The 27,067-nt window shown below is 38.8% G+C and overlaps 1 protein-coding gene across 10 annotated transcripts in view; it reads right to left on the minus strand.

The window, feature by feature from the left end:
* Positions 1-589: 589 nt before the first annotated feature.
* Positions 590-27,067, minus strand: part of YWHAZ (tyrosine 3-monooxygenase/tryptophan 5-monooxygenase activation protein zeta) — a 36,860-nt gene continuing 10,382 nt past the window's right edge. For all 10 annotated transcript variants that reach the window (NM_003406.4, XM_017013810.3, XM_005251061.4 and 7 more), the window contains 4 exons: positions 8,983-9,106; positions 8,202-8,365; positions 8,022-8,117; positions 590-4,819 (listed from right to left, as the gene is read on the minus strand). In NM_003406.4, the coding sequence (NP_003397.1) occupies positions 4,760-4,819; positions 8,022-8,117; positions 8,202-8,365; positions 8,983-9,106 (444 nt within the window). In that variant the 3' untranslated portion in view covers positions 590-4,759. The remainder of the gene's footprint in view (positions 4,820-8,021; positions 8,118-8,201; positions 8,366-8,982; positions 9,107-27,067) is intronic.

Below are 27,067 nucleotides of genomic sequence, written 5' to 3' on the forward strand. Positions count from 1 at the left end.
ATGCATATTCCTGGGCTCCAACCTAAATATTCAGAATTCTTGAAACTGAATGCTGAGAATAGGCATTTAAAACGAGTTCCCCTCGGGAGTCTAGACATAGCCTATTTTTTATACTCCCACATAGCCCCCAAACCCAAACCTACAAGCACATGTTAAGTTCTTAATTCCCTGCATCTTGATTGTGCTGTATATCCATTTGGGTCCCATTCTGCAAATCTTCACTCAAACATGAATCTCTAAGCGCCCCCCGCCCTTTTTTTTTTTGACAGAGTTTTGCTCTTGTTGCCCAGGCTGGAGTACAATGGCATGATCTTGGCTCACTGCAACGTCCGCCTCTCGGGTTCAAGCAATTCTCCTGCCTCAGCCTCCCGAGGAGCTGGGATTACAGGCACGCACCACCATGCCCGGCTAAATTTTTTGTATTTTTAGTAGAGATGGGGTCTCACCATGTTGGCCAGGCTGGTCTCAAACACCTGACCTCAGGTGATCCACCCGCCTCAGCCTCCCAAAGTGCTGGGATTACAGGCGTGAGCCACCACACCCAGCCAGAATCTCTAAGCCTTTGTAAGAAAACACACAGAACAGCAGCTGGCCAAAGCAAACATCCAATGTTAGAAAATGTAAGCACAAACTGAAAATTCATAGGGTTTTAAATTCTAAAATTCGGAATACTAAGAAGTAATCAATTAAGACCAGTTAGGTTTGGACTTTCAAGGAATGAACTCAAATATGATCAAATATTCACATCTCTGGTATCACCTAGGATTGGCTAACATTATGCTTAAATATATTAACTTGTAACTGCTTCTGCATCCCAGAGACATATATGCCTGCTTGTCTGGCAAGGTTGGACATCCTGTTACAATCTATATTCAGGTCTCTCCACTTTGAAAAGGAACTAGAATCAATCAAGGAGACTGTGACTACTACCAGTCACATAAAAGTATTTAATTAGTTTCACACTTAGAAAAGAATCCAAGTCTATTTTCCAAGTGCCCAGTCTCAGCCACCACTTTACTATTGTACATATTTTCAGTTCTACCATAGTATTTCCTATATGGTAAATGAGAGAATACAATCAAGCCAAATTTATTTCTTGACCTTTCCCTAGAGGAATGTGTAAGACCATCATTGAGCATAGAGCACCAGTTTTCAAAGTCAAAGTTTCACTCTCCATTTGAAGCCTGACTACAAATAACCTAAGATAGCAGCTTCCAAATTGGCTTTGACTCATTTTAAAATATGCATTGAGCCATGACAAGACTGGTGACTCTTTTGCAGGAAAAACATAATAAACAAATTGAGCCCCAAAATTAAGCCACTAGACATATTCTTTCTCTTTCTCCCCCCACCCCCTATAACAGCATGAAGTAACAGCTGTTAACTGGAAAAACAAAGACCATAAGCCAGAGCTGCAGGAAAGCCCATCGTTTTTACTAATCACACTGCTGCTCCACTTTCTGAAGGACAACTCTTAAGTGGCCAATTTAAAAAAAACATACCAGGGTGGGCACAGTGGCTCACGCCTGTAATCCCAGCACTTTGGGAGGCCGAGGTGGGCGGATCACAAGGTCAGGAGAATGAGACCATCATGGCTAACACGGTGAAACCCTCTCTCTACTAAAAATACAAATAATTAGCCAGGAGTGGTGGCACATGCCTGCAGTCCCAGCTACTTGCGAGGCTGAGGCAGGAGAATCACTTCAGCCTGGGAGGAGAAGGTTGCAGTGAGCCGAGATCAGGCCACTGCACCCCAGCCTGGGCGAGAGTTGACACTCCGTCTTAAAAACAAACGAACAAAAAAATTCCAGTACTTTACACACAAAAAGTCATTGGATTTTCCAATTTCCTGGCACTAGGATGTTACATTGACAAAAGCAGACGTAAAGCCTGGATTTGGGACAATCAAGGAATAGTTACAAACACATTATTCAAATTCCAAAACAAAGAATCTCAGGTTGGAAATTTTCCTTAATCTATTGGGAACTACTATGTAGAAAACATTAGTTAATACTAGTGAAGTGTTTTCATTATTCCAGGATCAACCTAGTTCAGATGACTGATGCACATTAAATAGGCAAATGTGCCAAGTTTCAGGTTTTATTTACTTGAATAATATCACATCTCTACTGGGCGCGGTGGCTTATGCCTGTAATCCCAGCACTTTGGGAGGTTGAGATGGGCGGATTGCCTGAGGTCGGGAATTCAAGACCAGCCTGGACAACATGGTGAAACCCTGTCTCTACTAAAAACACAAAAATTAGCCAGGTGTGGTGGCGGGCACCTGTAATCCCAGCTACTTGGGAGGCTGAGGCAGGAGAATCGCTTGAACCCAGCAGGCGGAGGTTGCACTCAGCCGAGATCGCACCACTGCACTCAAGCCTGGGTGACAGAGCAAGACTCTTGTCTCCAAAAAAAAAAAAAACAACAAAAAAATTCCCACCTCTTCAGTCTAGCTATAAAATATAATTACTTTATATATATATATATATATATATATATATATATATAATTATTTTACCTCCTTGGCTTGGGGGTCAGGAGAAATCAGTAAGTGAGGTAAAAGAAAGAGCTGCGAGGGAAAAGGATTGTTGCCCTAGATGCAGAAGGTATCTTTTCTCCTGGAAATAAAGACCCCAAGGTCTCCATTGCACTTTTATTTGAATGTAATATTTGGGACAATTATTCAAAAGGGCCAATATTTCCCAATTTAATCTGAGGTCATAATAAAACAAGCAACAAAACAGTGTTTGGGATTTCAGTTTCTCACCCTTATCATCAAGACTCACTGCCTCCCATCATCAATATTTATTGAGCATTTACAGTGTACTAGGCACAATAGAACATACAGAAAACATTGTCCCTGCTCTTGAGGAGCTTACATTCTAAAAGAAAAAATACACCTTTTTTAAAATGGCATTTTTGTTTGGTGTTTTCTGCAAAGTACTGAGGAAATATTTTGTAAAGTGAGCTTTGGGTATAACTTAGCCCCATCATTATTTAGAGAATAGAGGAGGAAGAAAGAGGAAGGATTTTAAAGGCAGACAATGACAGACCATTCAGGATAGGTAGGGTTTTAAAGGGAGATAAACACAGTCTCATCAACTAAGGAGAGATTTGCTGCAGTAAATAGGATGAGGGAAATAGTCTGTGGGATGCAAGCAAAGGAAGCAGGGTGCCTTAGACACTGAGTGGAGCCAGAAAGATCATGCGGCCTTTTTCCAAGTACATGGCCACCAAGTAAGAATGGTTGGTGACAAGACAGAAGGCTAAAACAGGAAGGTAATCTTGTGCACCTGACAAATAGAAAGAATAAAGGATCAAAATTGAAGGCAGGCTATAAGAGTATCAAGAAATTCTTAAAAACCAAAAAGTGATTTGGAAGCACAAAACTTACAGTTAATGCTACCCAATGTCATGATGGGCCAAGAACATTGTGGCTTCCTAAGTTAGAAAATGCCATATGCCAAAATTTTAAATGGAACACACTACATTTTTTTCTAATCAATCCCCCCCTCTCCCAGAAAAAATAGGAACTCATTTTTTTCAGGGTGGGGAGGAAGAGAGGGGATCATGGGACATGGAAACAGTAGTTATATTAGTAGTATTTTTGTTATGATAAATTTTGTGTTTAAACTTGGTAAGAGCCCATTAGCTGCCAAGAGGGAATAAGGAATAAATTTCAAAAAATGTACAATTTCCTTTAGAGAAGTTTCAGAACCAAGACTAATTTACATGAAAAGCTGTAGAGAAAGTAGTTGAAAAGTCCATTCATAAAACTTTTATTCCACTTACATGAATTTAATACACGTGTTCTTAACAATTATGCTTGGATTGTTCATGAAAATTTCATAAGACATTAAACAAAGCTAGCCATCATCTCAAGTTATTTCCCTGTTAACTATTTTTACAGCACATGCATGTTAGGCAAGTATCAAAAAAAAAAAAATCACAAAAGCAAAAATCCTAAAAAAAAGTTAAATACATGGGTTTTTGTTTTACTGCTGTGCTTGATATACATGAAGTAATGAATACCAAGCAATTCATTTTTCCTGCATCTTTACTTTTACATTTGTTCTTAGGTTGCCTAAAACATTTAAATACAAATAAAATGAGTGTAGCAAAAATAATGAAAGCTAACAGCAGGTAACTTTACAAATAATGGAATGTGAACCGTTTCTGCCCTTATCCAGAGTAAAATGGGTCACAACTTTGTCTAAAGGAACACTTCTGCAGCTGTAGTCAAAGGTGTACACATTGAGTATTCCACAGATATACATGGTTTAATATGTGGTATCCATGGGGTATGATTCTACCACAGCCTTGTAAGTGCTCCAAACCTTAAAGTACCCACAATTACTACACCTGTGACTGGAACCAATGATCCCTTTTATTCCCCGCCAGGACAAACCAGTATGTAGGCAGTTTTCTTTGCTTAGACATGGAAGCAGTTTTACACTGGCCCTTTTGAAGCCACAATGTACCAAAAGTACTATGCCAAACACTTATAACTTGTATAAAAATTCCACATCCCCATATTGGCCACCTCAAGATGAAAACAGATAACTCCCTAAATGTTAACTGGCTCTACTCCCCTAATATTAAACATAAAAACCACATGGGAAATATAGAAATTCAAATAGAAGTAACATAAACCTGTCATAAATCGTAAACAAAAAACTATTTGTGGGACAGCATGGATGACAAATGGTCTACTGTGTAAATTTTAGAATGAGGCAGACAAAAGTTGGAAGGCCGGTTAATTTTCCCCTCCTTCTCCTGCTTCAGCTTCGTCTCCTTGGGTATCCGATGTCCACAACTGGTAAAAGAAGGAAAGATTTTTCAGCAAGTTTCAGTGGGATGGGGGGGGGGGGGCGTTTTCATATAAGTGCCAAGATACCTGAATGTTTTAGTTGGAAAGCATTCTTAAAAAGATAGCAGCATCACTTAGCTTCAAGATACAAAAACATCTCAATATACAAATTTACTTTTTTTGTAACCACTATATAAGCAGGTTAAGTACACCACAGAGTTGCCTTCAAATAACCTTCAGATACAGGAAAGTTTTGGTTATCCACAGAAGGTGAAGAGAAATTACAAGAAATAATACTTTTTTTTTGAGATGGAGTCTCGCTCTGTCACCAGGCTGGAGTGCAGTGGCGTGATCTTGGCTCAATGAACCCTCCGCCTCCCAGGTTCAAGCGATTCTCCTGCCTCAGCCTCCTGAGTAGCTGGGACTACAGGCATGTGCCACCACACCCATCTAATTTTTGTATTTTTAGGAGAGACGGGGTTTCACTATGTTGGCCAAGATGGTCTTGATCTGATCTCGTGATCCACCCACCTCGGCCTCCCAAAGTGGTGAGATTACAGGTGTGAGCCACTGTGCCCAGGCCCTAAATTATTTTTTAAAAACTAAGCATCAATAGGTGTCAGAACCTAAAGAGCCCCAATATGAAAGATGGACGTCCAAGGTGAGTGCAACTATACCAGAAGCATCTAATTTGGCCCATGCTGAAGGAGCTAGGGTTGACTACTCTCCACTGGTAGATCTTAAAGTGACTCACACTCCAAACAGAATCCTATACTCCATGAAATTCAAGAACCAGCCTCAACTCTGAGCTAAACTACAAATCTAGCTTTTCTAACACTTTAAGCTTAGAAAAACAAACCTTTATTTATCAGGTTGGTGCAAAAGTAATCGCAGCTCTTGCCATTACTTTAAATGGCAAAACCCTCAATTACTTTTGCACTACCCTATCATATGATTCAAAATAAATGCTGGACAAAAACCAGAACCAAATCTTTTAACAGGTAAAAATGAAAGTTGTCCCATAGGTGGCAGGGTTATGAACTCTATTCCACCTGCTCCAATGTTAAAAATGTTGAAGTCTTAACCACTCTCTAGTGATTTTCAGAGGTAATTACAAAAGGATTCAAGACAATCTTAAATTTTATATATGACTTACACATGAAAACGGAGGGGAAGGGGAAAATACACTAATTATTATTTTTATATTCCCCAAATCATCCATTAGCTTCATTTATCTACTAAGCAAATATATCTCTGGCCTGGAAAGGAGACTACTTCCAAGGTCATACAGATAGCCAAATGACCTCTTGGAAACTGTGTGCTCCTCCTGTCAAACAAGGGGTTTTGTAATTGCAAGATGAAATTGTTTCTAATGTCTCTTTCCTGTTCTAACTTTCAAGGATTCTTGAATTTTCTGTATAAACATGCAAATTTGATACAAAATATTTCTTTTTCTAGAGTAATGTGTTGACAGTCTTGGTCAACCAAATTCAGAATGAAATATTAAGTTTTGGGATAATTTCTTTTCTTGACAGATAAATGTTCCAATCAACCTATAATGGTGACAGCTGACACTAATAAGGCTCAGAGAAGACATACAAGTAGTGACAGAATTAGAATCAAAACCCTGGTTTTTTCTTTTCTTTTTTTTTTTTTTTGAGACAGAGTCTCGCTCTTTTGCCCAGGCTGGAGTGTAGCGGTGTGATCTCAGCTCACTGCAACCTCTGCCTCCCGGGTTCAAGCAATTCTCTTCCTCAGCCTCCCGAGTAGCTGGGATTACAGGTGCCCACCACTATGCCCAGCTAATTTTTGTATTTTTAGTAGAGATGGGGTTTCACCATCTTGGCCAAGCTGTTCCTGAACTCCTGACCTGGTGATCCGCCCGCCTCGGCCTCCCAAAGTGCTGGGATTACAGGCGTGAGCCACCACGCCCGGCCAACCCTGGTTTTCTTATTGCAATATGCGCTCTTCATGCTATACTGATAGCAAAATTCAGTTGGAAGCAGACAGTAGATCAGGGCCTCTCAAAAAGTGATGTGAACAAAACACAGTATCTAGGTCTCAGGTCATCACTTTAAAAATGTCATCACTTCAAACTAGAAAAGAAAAATCCTTAATACTAAAGTTAGTTAACAAAGTGCTTCTTATGTTTGATATATAAGATTCTTTCATTCTTTACTGTGGCTTGTTATCTTGACTCAAGTATCAGAAAAGTTTATAGATAGCTCCAAATTGTGCTAATAAAGTAATTTTAGGTTTAATAAACAAGTATACAATACTATTCAAAAAACTCTTCAAGATTTTCAGCACTAGCATATAGAACTGGTTTATAGAAAATGGCAGTGGACTAGAATAAAGTTGGAAGAGAAATGTATAAAATGAGATTACATAGTCCCCAAGAGAAATGGCCCTAGAAGTCTAACAAAAAAACAGTAATACCTAGATTATGATCTGCAATTCCTACCTCTTTACCTGACACACAGCAAATGCTTGATAATTTTTTCACCTAAGCCTCAAAATTTCAAATCTAGTATTTATCTGAAGGAGAAGAATGAGAAGACCTAAGAAACAAACGAGACATACAAATCAACTGCATTGTGGACTGAATTTGAATCCCAATTCAAATAACTTAAAAAAAGAGAGATAATTGGAATTCAAGTATTATTTAGATATTCAAACATTATTAGGGAATTATGTTGATGTTCCTGGTGTGATAGTGACACTGTTTCTTTTTATACATCTGCAGTATCCCAAGGACAATCACGACCTTTCATATTAAGTCATTTAAAATAAGAAGCTAGGCAAAATAGACTTCCACTTGGATTCTGTAGATACCTGAGATTTTGTAACTCAAGTTATTAATTCCCTACCATTATCTTTACCAATATGGAGGCAACTTGATGGGCAAGAAAATCATTCTTAAAGGAACTAAAACATGTAGAGTCTCAGCACACTTTTGATACTAACAAATTTTAACAAGACAGGTAACTCATCAATGTGTGTATTTTTTAGTTCTCAGTCTAATATTTCAGTTTCTGTAATTTTCCTTCATAGGACTTTAATAGTAGCTGAGATATATTTATGAGAGCCTATGAAATGTGTTGAGAAAAAATTTTAAAAGATGTATTTAATAAAAAAAAAAATTCCCTAGAGTAAAACATAACCTCTTCAACCACATTCATCACTAATGATGCTGTTATGTACTTACTGTCAAGTTGTCTCTCAGTAATTGCATTATTAGCGTGCTGTCTTTGTATGACTCTTCACTTAATGTATCAAGTTCAGCAATGGCTTCATCAAAAGCCTACGATTTAAAAATAGTACATTACATTTCAGTGCTCAAATAATAAAGACTGCTAAATTTCTACGTAACAGGTAAAATACATACTGTCTTTGCAAGAGAGCAGGCTTTCTCTGGGGAGTTCAGAATCTCATAATAGAACACAGAGAAGTTAAGGGCCAGACCCAGTCTGATAGGATGTGTTGGTTGCATTTCCTTTTTGCTGATTTCAAAAGCTTCTTGGTATGCTTGTTGTGACTGATCGACAATCCCTGGATAAGACACACCAAAACGTACTGAGATAAAGTGTGCATTATATCTTCACCCCTCAAACCAAACCTTTAATATCTCACATATCCTTTGAAATACTAACCTGTAACAGCTTAATATTTGTTAATTGAACAAGGTCCTTTTTTTTTTTTAAAGGGAGCTTTCTCCTGGTACACACTAGCCATTGATCAATGTCAAGATAAAACAACTTTATAATCTCATTATTGTTATGTTTTTAAAAAATTGACGAGTTTTGACATCCCAGACCCAAGCAATCCTCCCACCTCAGCCTCCAGATTAGCTGGGACCAAAGGCTTGCACCACCATGCCCAGCTAATTTTCAAAATATTTTTTGTAGAGAGAGATGTTGCTCAGGCTGGTCACTTTTCTTAAAATCTTGAAAAAACATCCCTGTACACAATATTGGCTTTTCAGAAAGCATTTATTTTAGAATAGCAGTATGAGGCAGTAGATGTGTATTCTCAGAACACAAAGAGCACTGCTACTCCTTATTCGGCACTCTAAGCAATTCAAAACAAGACATTATGTACGCTTCAGAGACTCTTCCTCACTATGTTATCTTATACAAGTTCAACCAACAGGTTTAAAAACAGCATACCTTTCTTGTCATCACCAGCGGCAACCTCAGCCAAGTAACGGTAGTAATCTCCTTTCATTTTCAAATAGAAGACTTTGCTCTCTGCTTGTGAAGCATTGGGGATCAAGAACTTTTCCAAAAGAGACTTAAGAAGAAAAGAAACAGACATAGTGAGAATAAAACATTTACAAAACTGAAAGAACTTGCATTTCTTAAAGAACAAACTATAGCCTAAGTTATAAAACTTAAACACCCAGTCACTGTCAATACAATTGTGAATGCAGCTGGCACATGAATTTGTGGTTTAAAGCAGAATGCTTTGGGCAGCAATATTTTAAGTTTGAAGTTAGTGTTCAGTTTATTATTTGAGGACAATAAAATTGAACATTGGTCCCTGACAATGTTATCTATTTACATGCTGACTTCATGAATGTGGGGCATGACCGTTCACATTTAGGAACATTTTCTAATGAGCTGGCAAGCTTTCCATCTGAAGTTTCATGTGGTCATGACATGAAAATAGAAAGAACATACGGGATGAACCTTTTGGGACTCTGGAGAAATGACTAAAGCAGAAACCAATAATGTAAGACACTTAAGGAGTCCATGCCAGAGAAGGAGGAACAAAATAAACTTCATTTATAACAACACAATTCAAGCAAACCTCACAACAGATAAAAAAACCGTTCAAAAGTTTTATTTTTCCTAAAGACAGTGGTAGGAGACTTACAGATTTTAAAGAGCAGACCTTTAATCTCATTGAAGTCATTTTCGGCTAGTAAGATACACGATTACAGATCATCCCAGACAACAGATAAAATTAAAACATCATCCTATAAAATTCTGTCTAAAACTACTATTACAATCTGAGTCATTTGATTAGGATTTTAAAAATTACACTCTTTAACTGATTTTAAAGCAAAAAGATTAGATCATTGTGTTGGGGATGGGAAGAAGTCTCAATAAATGTGTAATTTTTTTCTTTCCAGTTAAGGGGGAGAAAAATAATTCTAGTAGTAGAATTAGGTAAACATTAAAGCAAAAAAACCCCAACCACCCATTCTCACTACCCCACTTCCTTTAAAGTTCAAGTACACTCTGAGAATCAAGGTGAAGTCAATTTTCAGCTGAGCTAAATTCCAAATCCATTCTTACAAAAAAAAAGTATTAGTTTATATAGCACCTACTTATATATAAAATATAAATTTGAAAAATGCTTTTAAATGGTAACTCCAACTTTTTGTTTACCCATTATGTTCCAATGCTGGGTAGGTGAACAGTTTTAACCCAACTTCTTCCCCCAATTTTTTTTTTTTTTTTTTTTACAACTCAAGCTACAGATAACCCAGATGAAGTGGCAGTAGGGCCAGATTGCACTGTGCTATATAAAGAGGTTAAAGGTGAGAAAAGTCAACCTGAAATGATGTTTCCTGCAATTATTAACCGATATTTAAAAATACTGGCCTGAGGCCGGGCACAGTGGCTCATGCCAGTAATCCCAGCACTCTGGGAGGCTAGGGTGGCAGGATCACTTGAGGTGAGCCTCGTCAACATGGTGAAACCCTGTCTCTACTAAAAATACAAAAATTAGCCAGGCGTGGTGACGGGCGCCTGTAATCCCAGCTGAGGCAGGAGAACTGCTTGAGCCCGAGAGATAGAGGCTGCAGTGAGCCGAGGTTGCACCACTGCACTGCAGCCTGGATGACAGAGCAAGACTCCATCTCAAAATAAATAAAAATAAAATAAAATTACTGGCCGGAAATCAGAAGAACGTTTTGGTTAGGATAGCAACCTCTGTCTTACACCACATTCATACTTTCATATTCAAAGTTCTCTTAGCTGCAAAAGTGTTTTGTCCTTTGAATACAATGCTTTTTACCACCTATGGTTGCTCTGTGGAGATCTGCCTCAAACAGTGGAAGACACTTGCATTTAAAATAGTCAAGTGAGTCTTTCCACTTAAAAACAATGGTTTTAAGAAACAAATGACCAGGATTTTCAAAAGTTTCATTGTTACACAAATTGTATTATTCATTCAACTATGGGAGATGGTATAAACATAAGTGGCTTTGGGGTGAGTCTGGTTTTGAATTACAGCACTATACACCGTGTGAACTACTTAATCTCAATGATTCAGTTATCTCACCTGTAAGGCAGAGACCTCTAAGATTATTGAGAAAAAATACAGGTAAGCACTTAGGAGTAAGCACTTAAAATTTTATTTCTATTATCACAATAACACCAGACACCATGCTAGAAGCTGGAAGCACAATATTCTGGTAATTCATAATCTAGCTGTAGAGACAAGGCTATCATTCCTTCCATTACAATACACTTTACAAGAATTGCAGGGCACGGTGGCTCACTCCTGTAATCCCAACACTTTGGGAGGCTGAGGTGGGAGGATCACTTCTTGAGTCCAGGAGTTTGAGACCACCCCGGTGAACATGAGATCCTGCCTCTACAAAAAAATTTAAAAGTTAACCAGGTGTGGTGGCACACCCCTATAGTCCCAGCTACTTGGAAGGCTGAGACAGGAGGATCATCTGAGTCCAGGAGTTTGAGGCTGCAGTGATCTGTAATTGAATTATACCACTGTACTCTAGGACAGGGTGACAGTGAGGCTGTCTCAAAAAGAGTAACACTGCCTAATCACGTCTTTCACTTTTCGGTAACTTTAACCCCCTCTATGTATGCAGAGATGAAGGCCATAAACACATGCAGTTACTTAAGAGTGAACCAGTCACTTAAGATGTAAAATTTTAAAGCTGTACTAAAAACTTAAATTTTTTTAGGAAAGGTGTTGATAAATGCTACTAAAAGTAGTAATCTATCTTTTGTAGGTAGTAACTTTCTACCTGGGTAATATGCTGAACTAAGCAGTTCCCTGGGAATTAAAATGGCAGTTAAGCACTTCTTTCCCCAAAGCTGAACACTGAATTAACCATAAAACAACTTTAAAGCTATTTGTTAGAACCCACAAGTAACAGGAGGGCTGGGTAAACAGCAGTCAGGCTGCTTACTGGCCTAATGATAGACCAAAAGAACCAAACAAGTGGCAAGTGTTTCTGGTGAGATGCTGACCATAAGAGTTGAGAAAGGTGGCTGGGCATGGTGGCTCACGCCTGTAATCCCAACACTTTGGGAGGCTGAGGTGGGCGGATCACGAGGTCAGGAGATCGAGGCCATCCTGGCTAACAAGGTGAAACCCCGGTCTCTACTACAAAAAGAAAAAATTAGCCAGGTGTGGTGGCGGGCGCCTGTAGTCCCAGCTACTCGGGAGACTGAGGCAGGAGAACAGTGTGAACCCGGGAGGCGGAGCTTGCAGTGAGCTGAGATAGTGCCACTGCACTCCAGCCTGGGCAACAGAGTGAGACTCCGTCTCAAAAAAAAAGAGTTGAGAAAGGCATAAATGGCCTACTTCTAATAAATCGTCCAATGACATAAGCTAATTAAGATTTAAAAACCCAAAACCAAGCAAGACTGGATTAAAGATTAAATTTAAAGGGGCTAACACTGTAGCTCAAAAAAAGCTAACTATAAAAGAACATTTTCTGCCAGGTGTGGTGGTTCATGCCTATAATCCCAGCACTTTGGGAGGCTGAGGCGGGTGGATCACCTGAGGTCAGGAGTTCGAGACCAGCCTGGCCAACACGGTAAAACCTCGTCTCTACCAAAAATACAAAAAATTAGCCAGGCGTGGTGGCACACGCCTGGAATCCCAGGTACTCAGGAGGCTGAGGCAGGAGAATCACTTGAACCCGGGAGGCAGAGGTTGCAGTGAGCTGAGATTGCGCCATTGCACTCCAGCCTGGGCAACAAGAGTGAAACTCCGTCTTAAAAAGAAAAAAAAAAAAAGGAACATATTCTCAGCCTCAATGGGGTGATATACCTACTAGAAAGGACGTTATTCCACAATCAGGAATCAAAGTTATGGCGAGTATACTAGAAACTGTCAGGATAATGGAAAGAACAGGACATGAATGGCTCCAAGAGACAAGACCAATTAAATTTAGCAAGAGGGAAGATTTCTGTTCAGTATGAGAAAACTTATGAGTGGTCCAGTACTGGAACCTGCTCAGTGAATTCCCTCTTTTCACATAAAGGTAAAACAGGAAACTAAAGAGGGTAACTTAGGTATTTTGTAGAGGAGATTCATAAAGAAGATGTCATCTGTTTCTTTTAAAAAAATTTTAATTGACAAAATAGTTGTAAATATTTTGGGGGTGCATGTGATATTGATACATGCATACAATATATAATGATCAAATCAGAGTAACTGGGATATCCATCACCTCAAACATTGATTTTTTTTTTTTTTTTTTGAGACAGTCTTGCTCTGGCACCCAGGCTGGGGTGCAGTGGCGCAATGTCGGCTCACTGCAACCTCCTCCTCCTGAGTTCAAGCGTTTCTCCTGCCTTGGCCTCCTGAGTAGCTGGGATTACAGGCATGTGCCACCATACCCAGCTAACTTTTGTATCTTTAGTACCAATGGGGTTTCGCCATGTTGGCCAGGCTGGTCTTGAACTTCTGACTTCAGGTGATCCACCTGCCTCAGCCTCCCAAAGTGCTGGGAATACAGGCGTAAAGCCACTGCACCTGGCCTCAAACATTGATCTTCTATTTGTGTTAGGAGCACTGCAATTCTTCTAGCTACTTTGGTAGAATAAATAAATGTTAACTATAATTTCCCTACTGTACTATTGAATACTAGAACTTATTTCTACTATCTAACCGGATTTTTGTACACGTGGTCTTTTTCAATTCTAAGGGAAGTCAGAGTTCACAGAATTAATTTAATGGTAACATAAAAGAGGCAATTAAGTATGTTGCTTTGTCAAACTGACCGAAGAATAACAAATCCAAGTTTTCCAGATTTGGAAGCCAGAAGATAAAACCCAATGTAGGAAGAATAGAAAAAAATGAATAAAAGAACAAAAGAAAAAGGAAGCAGCAGTTACAACAAAGCAGAAAAAAACATGGAGGTGCACCAAGTAGAGAATGGAAGGGAGGAAAGGGCTGATAGCTACTTTCAAAATATGCAATAACTTCAGAGAATATCCTGCTCAACACAGAAATAAACCTCCTAAATTTCGTTCACCTACAATAGTACAATGAAAGCAATCATGACTGAAATAAAGTCTGAAGTAAAAAGGGGAGGGAGTGGGCACACCATAATATAAGGAAGTATACACTAAGTGTCACAATTTCAACCGTATTTAGAACGAAGTCTCGCTCTGTCGCCCAGGCTGGAGTTCAGTGGTGTGATCTTGGCTCACTGCAACCTCAGCCTCCCCGGTTCAAGTGATTCTTCTGCCTCAGTCTCCCGAGTAGCCGGGACTGCAGGCACATGCCATCACACCCAGCTAATTTTTGTATTTTTAGTAGAGACAGGGTTTCACTGCATTGGCCAGGCTAGTCTTGAACTCCTGACCTCATGATCCACCTGCCTCAGCCTCCCAAAGTGCTGGGATTACAGGTGTGAGCCACCGCGCCCAGCCAACTCCAACTGTAAAACAAGGGCTAGGTTGACTGAAGGTTCAACTTGTAAAATTTTTCAATTATCACAGTACCTTAAGTTTTTAAACCAAATCTAAATGGTTTTGAGGTCAAACAAAATTCAAGCACATCCTACACTCAAGCTAAATCAAGGCTAAATGTTAATCTGTTGAATCTTCCTGAAATATAATCTCATTTAGAAATCCACAGTATTTCCTCAGTTTACTTCAAAATGTGGATGTAAGTTTTACTTTTTTCCCTCCCATTAATTTTTTTAATTTTTATTTAGAGATGAGGTCTTGCTCTGTCACACAGGCTGGAATGCAGTGGCCCCATCATAGCTTGCCCTGCTCCCATTAACTTTTAAATATGTTTTTTCATGACAGCCACTGTCTTTTAAAGATATCATGGCCAACATTTTAGAAAATACCCAAGATTAATTTGCTGAATTAGAGTTAATGCATTTATACAGCATTCACCCTAATAATATTAAGTGGGATAAGAAATCATTTACTCAGCAGCAAAATGCCACAAGAAGCCGGTATCTAATACTCTTTGGTAAACAGCTCCTAATCCAGAGTTAAATATGTGATATGGGCTCTGAAGAGAGGACACTAATCCTTAACCTAACCAACAGGTAAATTACATGAAATTTGAGATTTTAGAGATAAAAGAGATTTTTCTCTCTACTGCACCGTAGTATAATTAACCTCTTAGATTGTGAAAACACTTCCAAGAGATGGGGTTCAAATAACATTTTTCCTCCCAAGCCAGTTTCCAAAAGATGCCTTAATCCAAAGATAGTCTATATTTACAATGATGTTTTGTCTTTAAAATTAAGTCTATTAAAATTAAGGAACCACATAAATTGACAGGTCATCTGTTTCTGATCCCTTCTTGGCATAGACTCAACCTGATCCCACTAATATGAATTTTATAAACACTCACTCCTGCCTGTAGTCAAATATTCCTAATGAAAAGTTAATGAACTGAGAATCTATCTCTAGTGATATGCCTTTCTCACTGGTCTTTCAGTATGATTACCCCTAAACCACCAAAACTGCTGCCTGAGCTGGTGGCAAGACTTTAACCTTTCGGGCATTCAACACTTGTTAGAAGAAAAGCTTGATGTAATGCAAATCGTATAAACTCTAAAACCAGGCAGACTTGAAATTCCACCCTAACCCATTAATTTTGAGAATTTACACAATAGCTAATCTTTATTTTCTCATCTATATGAAAATCCACATCAAAAGGCTGTTATGAGGTCTAAATGAACATATAAACAGGAGGGCACCATTCACAGCTCCCAACCGAGAGTAGGCATTCTACTCACTGGTTGCTCAGTTATGTGAAAATAAAGTATGGAGATTCTGACATTCAAAAATCTGCTTTAGTGCTCTTGTACTCTTAAGTACATCATTTTGGCTTTGGTAATCTAAAATTTGTATAACTAGGAAAAATGGTGAAGTAGGATGCAAAAAAGTTTTCATTCAAAAACACAGGATTAAGACATATCAAAGAACAAAAGAAAAAAGAACAAAAGAAAAAAAGAACATTTCCTTTAGTATTTATTTTCTCTTTTTAAACAACAGACTTGTTAGGAACACAAACTATGGAGACAGACTGCTTACTGCCTAAATTCAAACTCTGTCACCTTGACAAAACTCTGAAATCTTCCTGGGTCTCAGATTCTCATCTGTAAAAGGCAAATATTAGTAGTAGACATAATGCACAAGGTTGTTGTAAGGATTAAATGAATTAACATATAATAAGCATTTAGCAGAGTCTGGCAAATAGTAAGCAACAAAGAAGTGCTGCCATCCTTTTGGAAGGTGAAAGTCTAGTGTCAACCACATTAGACTTCAAGTACTGTTTGTACTGCAGTAACTGATCTTAACCCACCCACTCACCCACCCAAAAACCACCTTAGCTCTGAACTCCCTCTTATGTGAAATAATTTCCTAATATTTAAGTAATATTACCTTATTTCTCCCAACCATGGTACATATATACTACCTCTATAAATAGGTACATTTTCTAGGAAAAAACCCTAAACGGTAACAATACTTCAAATTTATGGCTTAAAAGTTTGTCTCAAGACACTTTTACAGTCATAAAAAAGTAGAAAACTAAGATCATGGTGGTAGTAATTATTTTCCAAAGTTCTCATTTTTGCTCCAAAGCTTCAATTTTATCTGTCAAAAATATCATTTTCCCTTAAAGTGAGAGGCTCAATTCATTTAAGATATTTGTCGAATACCTAGGTCTGAATACCCACAGCTTATCTGCCTGCAGTTCTTTGAAGAAAAAAGTGTTCCATAAAAAAAGAAAAGCAGCTAGTTTATCTCACAATTCAAATAACTGCAAGTGTTTTTCTTAGAGACAACCACTGGACTTCCCATTTTGCCTCACTGAAAGATGTCTATTTAAGGGCTATTAATAAAATAATGTTTCAGATTCAAGGACATTAAAAAAAAAGTCTTTTTTCTTTTTAAAAGAAACAGTGAGTGCATAATGGTAAAGAAATACAATAATCACTAGTACAGTATAGTATCACTGCCTTGATTAGCGATAAGGAACCAGTAAGTTTGAGCAACCCTTGGGTTTGCACCAGTGCTAAATGTCAACAAAGTGATAAGAATCAGTATTAACAGTATTTGCCATGAAAATAGTTGTGACCTGGCTCGGCGCAGTGGCTCACACCTGTAACTCCAGCACTTTGGGAGGCCGAGGTGGGTGGATCATGAGGTCAGGAGCTCAAGACCAGCCTGGCCAAGATGGTGAAAGCCTGTCTCTACTAAAAATACAAAAATTAGCTGGGCATGGTGGTGTGTGCCTATAATCCCAGCTACTCGGGAGGCTGAGACAGAAGAATCACTTGAACCTGGGAGGTGGATGTTGCAGTGAGCCGAGATTGTGCCACTGCACTCCAGCCTGGGTAACAGAGTGAGCCTCCGTCTCAAAAAAAAAAAAGGAAGAAAATAGTTGTGACTTTTTGTGATGTAATAGACACCTCCCCAAAGGACTCCCAGTGGTCGGCATATCACTTTTAACAACTGATTTAAAGTAACCTCTGCTATGTTGTACACCTTAAATATATATTTTTTTTGCCAATCGTACCTCAATAAAGCTGGAAAAATAAAATGAAAAGAATCTGTGCTAAATACCTCTCCATACCTAGCTCTAATGCTATGTTCTCCCTAAAGCTAATTATTCAAAGCTATTCAGCTTCATCTACATTGTCTGTACAGATAGTGTGTAGTGTAGAGCTTTTTAACTGAAGAGAAAAAAGGGAAATATCCTAATTTCTGTCAATAAAGGACTAACGGCCAGGTGTGGTGGCTTATACCTTTAATCACAATCACTTTGGAAGGCTGAGCTGGGAGGATTGCTGGAGGCCAGGAGTTAGTGACCAGCCTAAGCAATATAGCAAGACCCCATCTCTACTAAAAATAATTTAAAAACTTAGCCTAGCGTGGCCAGGCGCGGTGGCTAACGCCTGTAATCCCAGCACTTTGGGAGGCCGAGGTGGGTGGATCACTTGAGGTCAGGAGTTCAAAACCAGCTTGGCCATCATGTTGAAACCCCATCTCTACTAAAAATACAAAAAATGAGGTGGGCATGGTGGTGCACACCTGTAATCCCAGCTACTTGGCAGGCTTGAGGCAGGAGACTCACTTGAACCCTGGAGGCGGAGGTTGCAGTGAGCTGAGATCGTGCCAAAGCACTCCAGCCTGGGCAACAAAGCTAGACTCGTCTCAAAAAAAAAAAAAAAAAAAAAAAAAAAAATTAGCCTAGTGTAGTGTGCACTTGCACTCCCAGCTACTCCAAAGGCTGAGATGGGAGGATCACTTGAGCACAGGATGTCATGGCTGCAGTGAGTGCACCACTGCACTCCAGCATGGGGGACAGAGGGAGACCCTATCTTTTTTTTTTTTTTTTAAAAGGAGGGTCTGGCTAAGTAAGTTGCTACATACCCAAATAATAGAATACTATACAGACATTAAGAGTGAGGAGGTACGGGCTGGTTGTGGTGGCTCACGCCTGTAATCCCACACTTTAGGAGGCCAAGGTGGGTGGATCACCTGAGGTCAGGAGTTCGAGACCAGCCTGGCTAACATGGCGAAACTCCGTCTCTACTAAAAATACAAAAATTAGCTGGGTGTGGTGGCAGGCGCCTGTAATCCCAGCTACTCAGGAGACTGAGACAGAAGAATCACTTGAACCCAGGAGGCAGAGGTTGTGCCATCTGCACTCCAACCTGGGCGATAGGGCGAGACTGTCTCCAAAAAACAAAAGAGTAAGGAGGTACCTGTCAAAATGAAACATAAGATATACATCAAAGTGTGTAGTTTTGTACAATTTACCAAACTAAGTATATGATCCTTATTCTTCAAGGACAGAATTGTTTACTTTGCACATAAATTCCCAGGATACACAAAGGACTAACAGAGATTACCTCCAAGAAGGCAGGATGAGGTTACAGCAGCTTTATTTTTTCCTTCTACATGCTATGCTCTTAACACCTAAATTCTTAGGAGCAAGTACAATTTAAAATAAAGATTACCAGCCTGGGTGACACCCCGTCTCTACTGGGAAAAAAAAAAAAATTGGATGTGGTGGCACACGACTGTAATCCCAGCTACTCGGGAGGCTGAGCCAGGAGAATTGCTTGAATGAACCCGGGAGGCAGAGGTTGCAGTGAGCCGACATTGTGCCACTGCACTCCAATGAGTTAGACTCCATCTCAAATAAAACAAACAATTATGGTTTTGCACCTTTAACTTTTCACACACATATATACTCTTAACCTACTCATAGGCTCTAATAAAGGCACGTTCTACACATTTTAAGCACTCAAAAATATTAAACTCCCTGACTGAATAATATACGCATAACTGTAATAGCTTCATTTAAATAAAACATTTTAAAACTATCTTGGAGGATATTTTAATAGCTCAACATCCTAAAAACTATTTTTCAGAAAGTCTTCATCATCAAGAGTGTATTACCTTACCAAATTCCTAAATAGTTAAGACAAAACCTGATAGAAATTCAGGTTGACACTACATTCAATAATGAATATTCTGCTGTAAGAGACACAACAATGTTCTACTTCTCTGAAAACCTAAGAGATTGCTCATTTAAAATATGTGAGTGCTGAACTAAACACATATATTCAGAAACAGCAGCAAAGGGGCAGGCTAAGCACCTCCTAATATGGATAAGCTCCAGGTTTCTATGTAATGAACAAAGAAGAACCTAAGAAAAATCCTGCAGAGAGAACTGGAAGAGAGTGTGAGGTTGCAAGGCAGAGTAAACTTGTTAAGAAGTCAAGGGTCCTAGATTATGGTACTAATTCTACTAACTAAGAGGCAAGACAGGCATTTCAAATACAAAACTATGACCAGCCTCCTCCTCACCTTAATCTTCTTGTGTTTCACTACAGCATTAATTTCAAAATCTCCCTTCCAATGCCAGGAAATCTCCTCTAACATAATGAATTTCCCACCCCACCACTATCCCTTACATTTCTTTAAATTCAAGATCACTTTTTTTCTTAAAAAGTAATCAGAGAATTTATAAACTAAGGGTCCTTAGACCAAACCCCAAAATTATGAACAAGAACTCAATCATTAAGTATTTGTACATTCACCTCAGTCCTGAAGAATAGCCAACCTGCCACTATACACTCAAACCACCGTGCTATGTGCTGAGATTTGGGCTTGCCAACTAGAACACAAGAAGCCAACTAATGAAAATAAATTCGAAAAAAAATTACAAGTTACAGAGCTGGGATCCTATTTTCCCCTTTGAAGAAGCAACCTATTCAGTATAAACAGAGGCAGCTTATTTAAAAAGCACTTTGGCAAAATAATTTAGTTTGTAACCTTTGACAAAGTAATCATAATCTTAAGGCATATACCTTAAAAAAGATTCAATGGGTATTTTGCACCATGGGGTGTGTTTTCAGAAGTCCTAACAGCATAATGCACTATCTAAATATAATTGGTTAAGTAACAGGACAACACCACATGCCTCCTAATATAATGCAGTGAGGAGGACACCATATCACTTCCAGGAGTTCTCACCAAAAACTGGCAACCTAAATTTAATCATGAAGAATCACCAGACAGGCCGGGCACGGTGGCTCACTCCTTGGGAGGCTAAGGCGGCCAAATCACTTGAGGTCAGGAGTTTGAGATCAGCCTGGCCAACATGGTGAAACCCCACCTCTACTAAAAACACAAAAATTAGCCAGGCATGGTGGCGGGTGCCTGTAATTCCAGCTACTGGGGAGGCTGAGGCAGGTGAATCGCTTGAACCTGGGAGGCAGAGGTTGCAAAGTGAGCCAGGATAGCTCGCCACTGAAGTCCAGCCTGGGGGACAGAGTGAGACTCCATCTCAAAACAAACAAACAAACAAAAAGGATCACCAGACAAATCGAAACTGAGAGACATTCTACAAAATAACCAGCCAGTACTCTTGAAAAAAGTTCCAAAATCATTAGAGGCAAAGACTAAAACAAGACTGATCCACATTAAAGGAGAGTAAGGAGACATGTAAGCAAAATGCAAAGTGTAATTCTGGATGGAATTCTGGAGCAGAAACAGGAAATTACAGTAAAACAATTTGCTAAATTTAATTAAGATTATAGGTTACATAATAGTTTATCATTTACTTTAATCATTTTCCTGATTTTAATAATTATACTGTAGTTATTAACATGTGGACAATCTGGCAAAATATATGAAAAACTCTTCATATTTTTCCAACCTCTTTCTAAATCTGAAATTATTTCAAAATGAAAAGTTAATACATTTTAAAGAAGTCCCTTTTAATTGTCTTTATTTCTGAAAGATACCCTTTTTCATACCCTTTATATGCTTTTTTTTTTTCAAATTTCCTTATGTGGCTGATACTACTTTTGTATTTAACACAGAAATGGTACAAAAACAATGATACATTTGTAAAGAAAAATATGTGGGGTGGAGAGAAAGTTCTCATCTTGTCTTAAAACAGTATTTCACCAACTGGTCCTAATATTAAATTTAATTCGCACAAAGATAATTAGACATCGAGTGTCATTAGCAAATAGCAAATCCCCCCAGAATATCAAAGCAAAACAATCAACCTCTATTGAGACATTTATGAATTGAAATTTGCGAATACAGCTGGGCTAACTTTGACATGACCTCACCAAATATGTGAGTGGGAGAAAGATCAAGCCTCCATAACCCATTCTTCTGTTTTAGATTGTACTGTCATGGCTCTCTTCCAAAACAACAAATGAAGAGAGAGACATTAGGACACAGACATGCCTGCTTTCATACAAAGCATACACACACCAGAAGTTAAAAGGTTGAGGTAGCAAGTAACTGAGGCATAAGAGCCCTCAAAAGTGATTCTCAGTAAGTACAGCACCCTAATTATAGTCTGAAACAAAAATCGGCCGGGTGCAGTGACTCATGCCGGTAATCCCAGCACTTTGGGAGGCCGAGGCAGGAGGATGACCTGAGGTCAGGAGTTCGAGACCAGCCTGACCAACATGGAGAAATCCCATCTCTACTAAAAATACAGAATTAGCTGGGCGTGGTGGCGCATGCCTGTAATCCCAGCTATCCAGGAAGCTGAGGCGGGAGAATCACTTGAACCCGGGAGGCAGAGGTTGCGGTGAGCCAAGATCATGCCATTGTACTCCAGCCTGGGCAACAAGAGTCAAACTCCATCTCAAACAACAAAAAAACCCCACTGTTTTCAATAAAATTAAAGCCACTTATTTTGTTATTCTGACAACTCCTCATCCCCCCCTACAAACCCAGTATCTTGATAGCAGATTAAATGTCATGTTTCAATCTACAATAAGATGATACTACATTAAGAGACTACAAATATTAATGCTTACTGTATGACCTCATGTAAATAGCTGAACCCCTGAGCTGCAGTGTCTTGATCTGTTAAAATAAAAAGGCTAGATCAGATGTCCCTTTAACCCTAAAATTCAATGACTCAATGAAATTTCTGTATACTTAAACATATTTCTACAAATCTATAAATTATGTAAAACTCCCAGTTTATATTATTCAATTTAAAAACTCACAAAAATACCCCACAAATGTCATTTTAATAACATCCTCATTAATAGATTTAATTCCAACTCTTCAGCATAGTGTAGTTCAAATTTCTGGTCTTGTACAATTCTCTTATGCAGAGATAATTTTCCTATAATTTTTATTCTGTAGAGACACTGGGCCTTGTATAAATCCTAGATCTCTTAAAATTTTAAAAAGAAATCATGCAAGAAGCCCATAATCTGTCACACATTAGGGGCCCATAGATTTAATCTCTTACTCCCCCTTGTGGCCGGAGTGGCTTCCATTCTTTGATTTGCAATTTCCTCACTTGCTTTCAACCAATTAGAAAAGTGCTCCACCAGAAATGCTAATGATTAGGAGGTGTCAAGAACTAATTTATTAAGTCTTTTAGACATTTTGACTTTAAATTATTACCTTTCTATGCAATGTGGCCTAACAGAATAAGATTTTAAGCTGTGAACATATGTTCTATAAATAAGGTCATCTATAAGCAGGCTTGTGCCTAATCACTTAACGCATTTTCCATTAATAGATGGCAAATCTGCACTTTTAATCAACAAGAAATCTGGCAAAGCAAGATGTTCCTGATGTTCAAGAACTGTTAAAGCCAGCCTAAAACTTTATTAATATAATTCCTGTTAAAAGAGTAGCTGCTCCCTGATATTTACCCCAAAACAAAAGATACCTACACTAAACAATGCTGATAGAAAGCCCCATCTGTTCTGTTCTAAAACTTTTTTTTTTTAATCAACTGGGTGAAAGGGCTAGCAGGAAGTGAGAATAAAAACTGCCAAATTAAATCAGGTTCAGAGAATTGTCTCCCTCCGAATCATGAATGCTAGCAAAATAATCCTAGAAGGAATCAGTGTTTTAAGAACATCTAACGCTGGGCACGGTGGCTCACACCTGTAATCAATCCCACTTTGGAGGCCGAGGCGGGTGGATCATCTGAGGTCAGGAGTTCAAGACCAGCCTTACCAACATGGAGAAACCCCATCTCTACTAAAATACAAAAATCAGCTGGGCGTGGTGGTGCATGCCTGTAATCCCAGCTACTCAGGAGGCCGAGGCAGGAGAATCGCTTGAACCCAGGAGACGGAGGATGTGGTGAGCCAAGATCACGCCATTGCACTCCAGCCTGGGCAACAAGAGTGAAACTCCATCTCAAAAAAAATAAAAATAAAAAAAGGAACATCTGAAAACAAATTTTGAAATGTTGTTCCTAAAGATTAAAAGTGAAATACTAGGCCAGGTGCAGTGGCTCATGCCTGTAATCTCAGCACTTTGGGAGGCCGAGGCAGGCGGATCACGAGGTTAGGAGATCGAGACCAACCTGGCTAACCTGGTGAAACCTCATCTCTACTAAAAAATACAAAAGAATTAGCCGGGCGTGGTGGCGGCCACCTGTAGTCCCAGCTACTAGGGAGGCTGAGACAGGAGAATGGTGTGAACCTGGAAGGCGGAGCTTGCAGTGAGCCGAGATCGCGCCACTGCACTCCAGCCTGGGGGACAGAGCGAGACTCCGCGCCACTGCACTCCAGCCTGGGGGACAGAGCGAGACTCCGTCTCAAAAAAAAAAAAAAAAAGTGAAACACTAACAAGTATCAAAAAGAACTTATATCAAAAAGAACTTAATGAGTAGTTAAGTATAAACTTAAAAATTATTGACACTCACTGAAGGCGTTCCTCTTCTCCCCTCCCCCAGGATCTAGGCCTGCGCTGAAGTTTCTCACAAACCAAGGCCCAATTTACCAGTATTTCCCTCACGATGCTTTTTGTTGTTGGTGGTGGTGGTAGTTAAAACGCCTCATTTTTCATAGGGCTTTTTAGCTTGTAAGTGGCACGCTATGTATTATGGATAAACTACATGGGGGACTATATTTTATCAGCCCCTTTTTAAAAAAGGCTAAAGACCAGCTTTTCTATGTTCAATGAATTTGCAGTACTTTTCCCTCTTTGACTTGTATTATTTGTGCACGTCTATTTCCCTCTCCAGACTGAAGAGCAGGGGCTTTTACATTTATTTTTGTAATAGCCCAGGGCTTATAAAATAGCAAGTTGTCAAATATTAAATAAAAAATTTCAGCTTTCTAAAGTTCTCTTAAATTTAATCCAAAATTTATAAATGAAACCACAATAAAGTGATATCACAGAGGTACAAAAGGTAAAGCAGTGTATTTGCTATTTAACACCACCACAGGGGTGTGTTAATTCAACAATTTCCTCAAAACATCCTAGAGGTAGATAGTATTATTCCCATTTTGAAGATGTGGAAACAGAGTCACAGACAAATGCAGTAAAACTTGCCCCAAATCACACAATGAATCAAAAATTCAAAAAGACTGCATGGCTCATGCTAAGTTTTATCACCTCTCTTAAAGTAAGGTAGTATACACTTTAGTATCCTTTATTTTTAGAAATGTTACACAGGGATATGCTTAAAGTTTTATCTCTGCTCCAATTAAAGAAAAAGAGCCTGATGCTAGTCCTCCATTAGATGGCAACAATCAAAGGGCAACTGGGAAGGAAAAGTCGTTACTCTTACAAAAAGCAGATTGCTTGAGTTGTCTTATTTCTAAACATCTTCCTAACACAATGCTAAAGGACTCATCAAATTGTTGAATTGAGAACTTGCCTGTTCTAGGCAAGAACTACAGCTTGCCTATATAATACTACCTTCAACTGTCAATTCCACAGAATCACATTTTAAGTAGGTATTTTGCATAATATTTTCATCAAGTGTCTCTTGGTTGAATGTGGTCCAAGTATGTCATTCTAAACTGGACAATGTTTATTACGTTTAAGGAGCAAAAAAATTATAAGCTGAGTGTTCATAAGTCTTGGATCAACAAATAGGTCTGTCTCAGAAAAGCGTTTGTAATTAATCACTTAGATGAGAAACATTCCGCATACCAGTGGGTTCCTTGGTATAACGCTAATTTTTAAAAACTCTAGATCCCAAAAATTGTTTGCAAGTTAGAAATTAACTGCCACTAAAAAACATTTCTAGGCCGGGTATGGTGGCTCACGACTGTAATCCCAGCACTTTGGGAGGCCGGGGTGGGTGGATCACCTGAGGTCAGGAGTTCAAGACCAGCCCGGCCAACATGGCGAAACCCCGTCTCTACTAAAAATACAAAAATTAGCCAGGCATGGTGGTGGGCGCCTGTAGTCCCAGCTACCTGGGAGGCTGAGGAGGGAGAATCGCTTGAACCCGGAAGGTGGAGGCTGCAGTGAGGCGAGATTGTGCCACTGCACTCCAGCCTGGACGACAAGGTGAGACTGCTATCTCAGAAAAAAACAAAACAAAAAACGACAAAAAAAAAAAAAAACATCTCTAACTTCCCAACTCATTAAACGATTAAAATAAAATACTAATACAACAAAAATTGGGCAGTCCCTGCAAATTTAATGCAATAATCCTTCTTAGATTTTAAAATTCAACACATGCATACAGGCCAACCCATTAAGCAAATCTTATGTTGGTCCGCTTAACTTTATAGATTAATACTTGGCTGAAACTATCCTTATATTCTTTTACCTGTTGTTACCACTGTAAGCACATTTTTATTTGGGGAAGGAAGGCTCACAACAAATCCTGTCAAAAGAAATCCACAAGAGCTTACATGCTGAAACTTTTTAATAACCTATCCAATGTAAACAAAAGGGCAGGTGTCACACAAAATGATCTTACTGATATCAAGTCAGCTATATTCATCCACATGGCTTTGGTGCCTGAATGGCAATAGAAAAAAAAACTAGTGAAATCTGCCAATATGTAAAACTCTATCCTACACTACACTACTACTTCTATCACATTATACCTTACCAGAAAACAAAACTAAATCAATGACAACTGCTATTGCACAGTAACTTTCACATATACAAGCTTTTCATAATTAAATGGAATTACTGACTAGAGAACAAGTGAATGATCGGTTACATAGAAATACACATAATAAAAAAGAGAGAACTGCTGATACGACCGTTCTTCCCACACCAAAATTTACATTTGTGCCATCTAAATATCAAAGCATATACTCCTTCAGTGTACTTTACAAATACACAAATGTTTTCAAGGAGAAAAGAACAGAGCCAATCTTCTGATGCTGAAAGACAGATAATCAAGATTAAAATAAGTCCTAAATCGAGTAATGAAGCAGAAACCCTCAGGCCATAAAGATGGTAATTAGCAACAGTTTGTATCAGGGATAGTGAGACGACCAAACTAAAGCTAAAAGCCTCTTGCAGGGAATTCTGGCAAGGATCAAGCAAATAGATGGAATGAAATCAGCATTTTAGAAAGATTAGAATAAGAAATACATGCAACATAGAACTGAAAAAGGAAAAATAAGAGTAACAAGTCCAAGTGAATGACCACAAGCAGCAGTAAAAAGATGTTTATAATTTAGCTTTTGTCCATTAAAAGCACATCAAGTTTATCCATACAGTATCATTTTCCTATTTGGCAATGTGCACTTTTCTGAGTATAATCCTGGGAACTATA

Source organism: Homo sapiens, chromosome 8 (assembly GCF_000001405.40).
Source record: "Homo sapiens chromosome 8, GRCh38.p14 Primary Assembly".
Classification (NCBI taxonomy): Eukaryota; Metazoa; Chordata; class Mammalia; order Primates; family Hominidae; genus Homo; species Homo sapiens.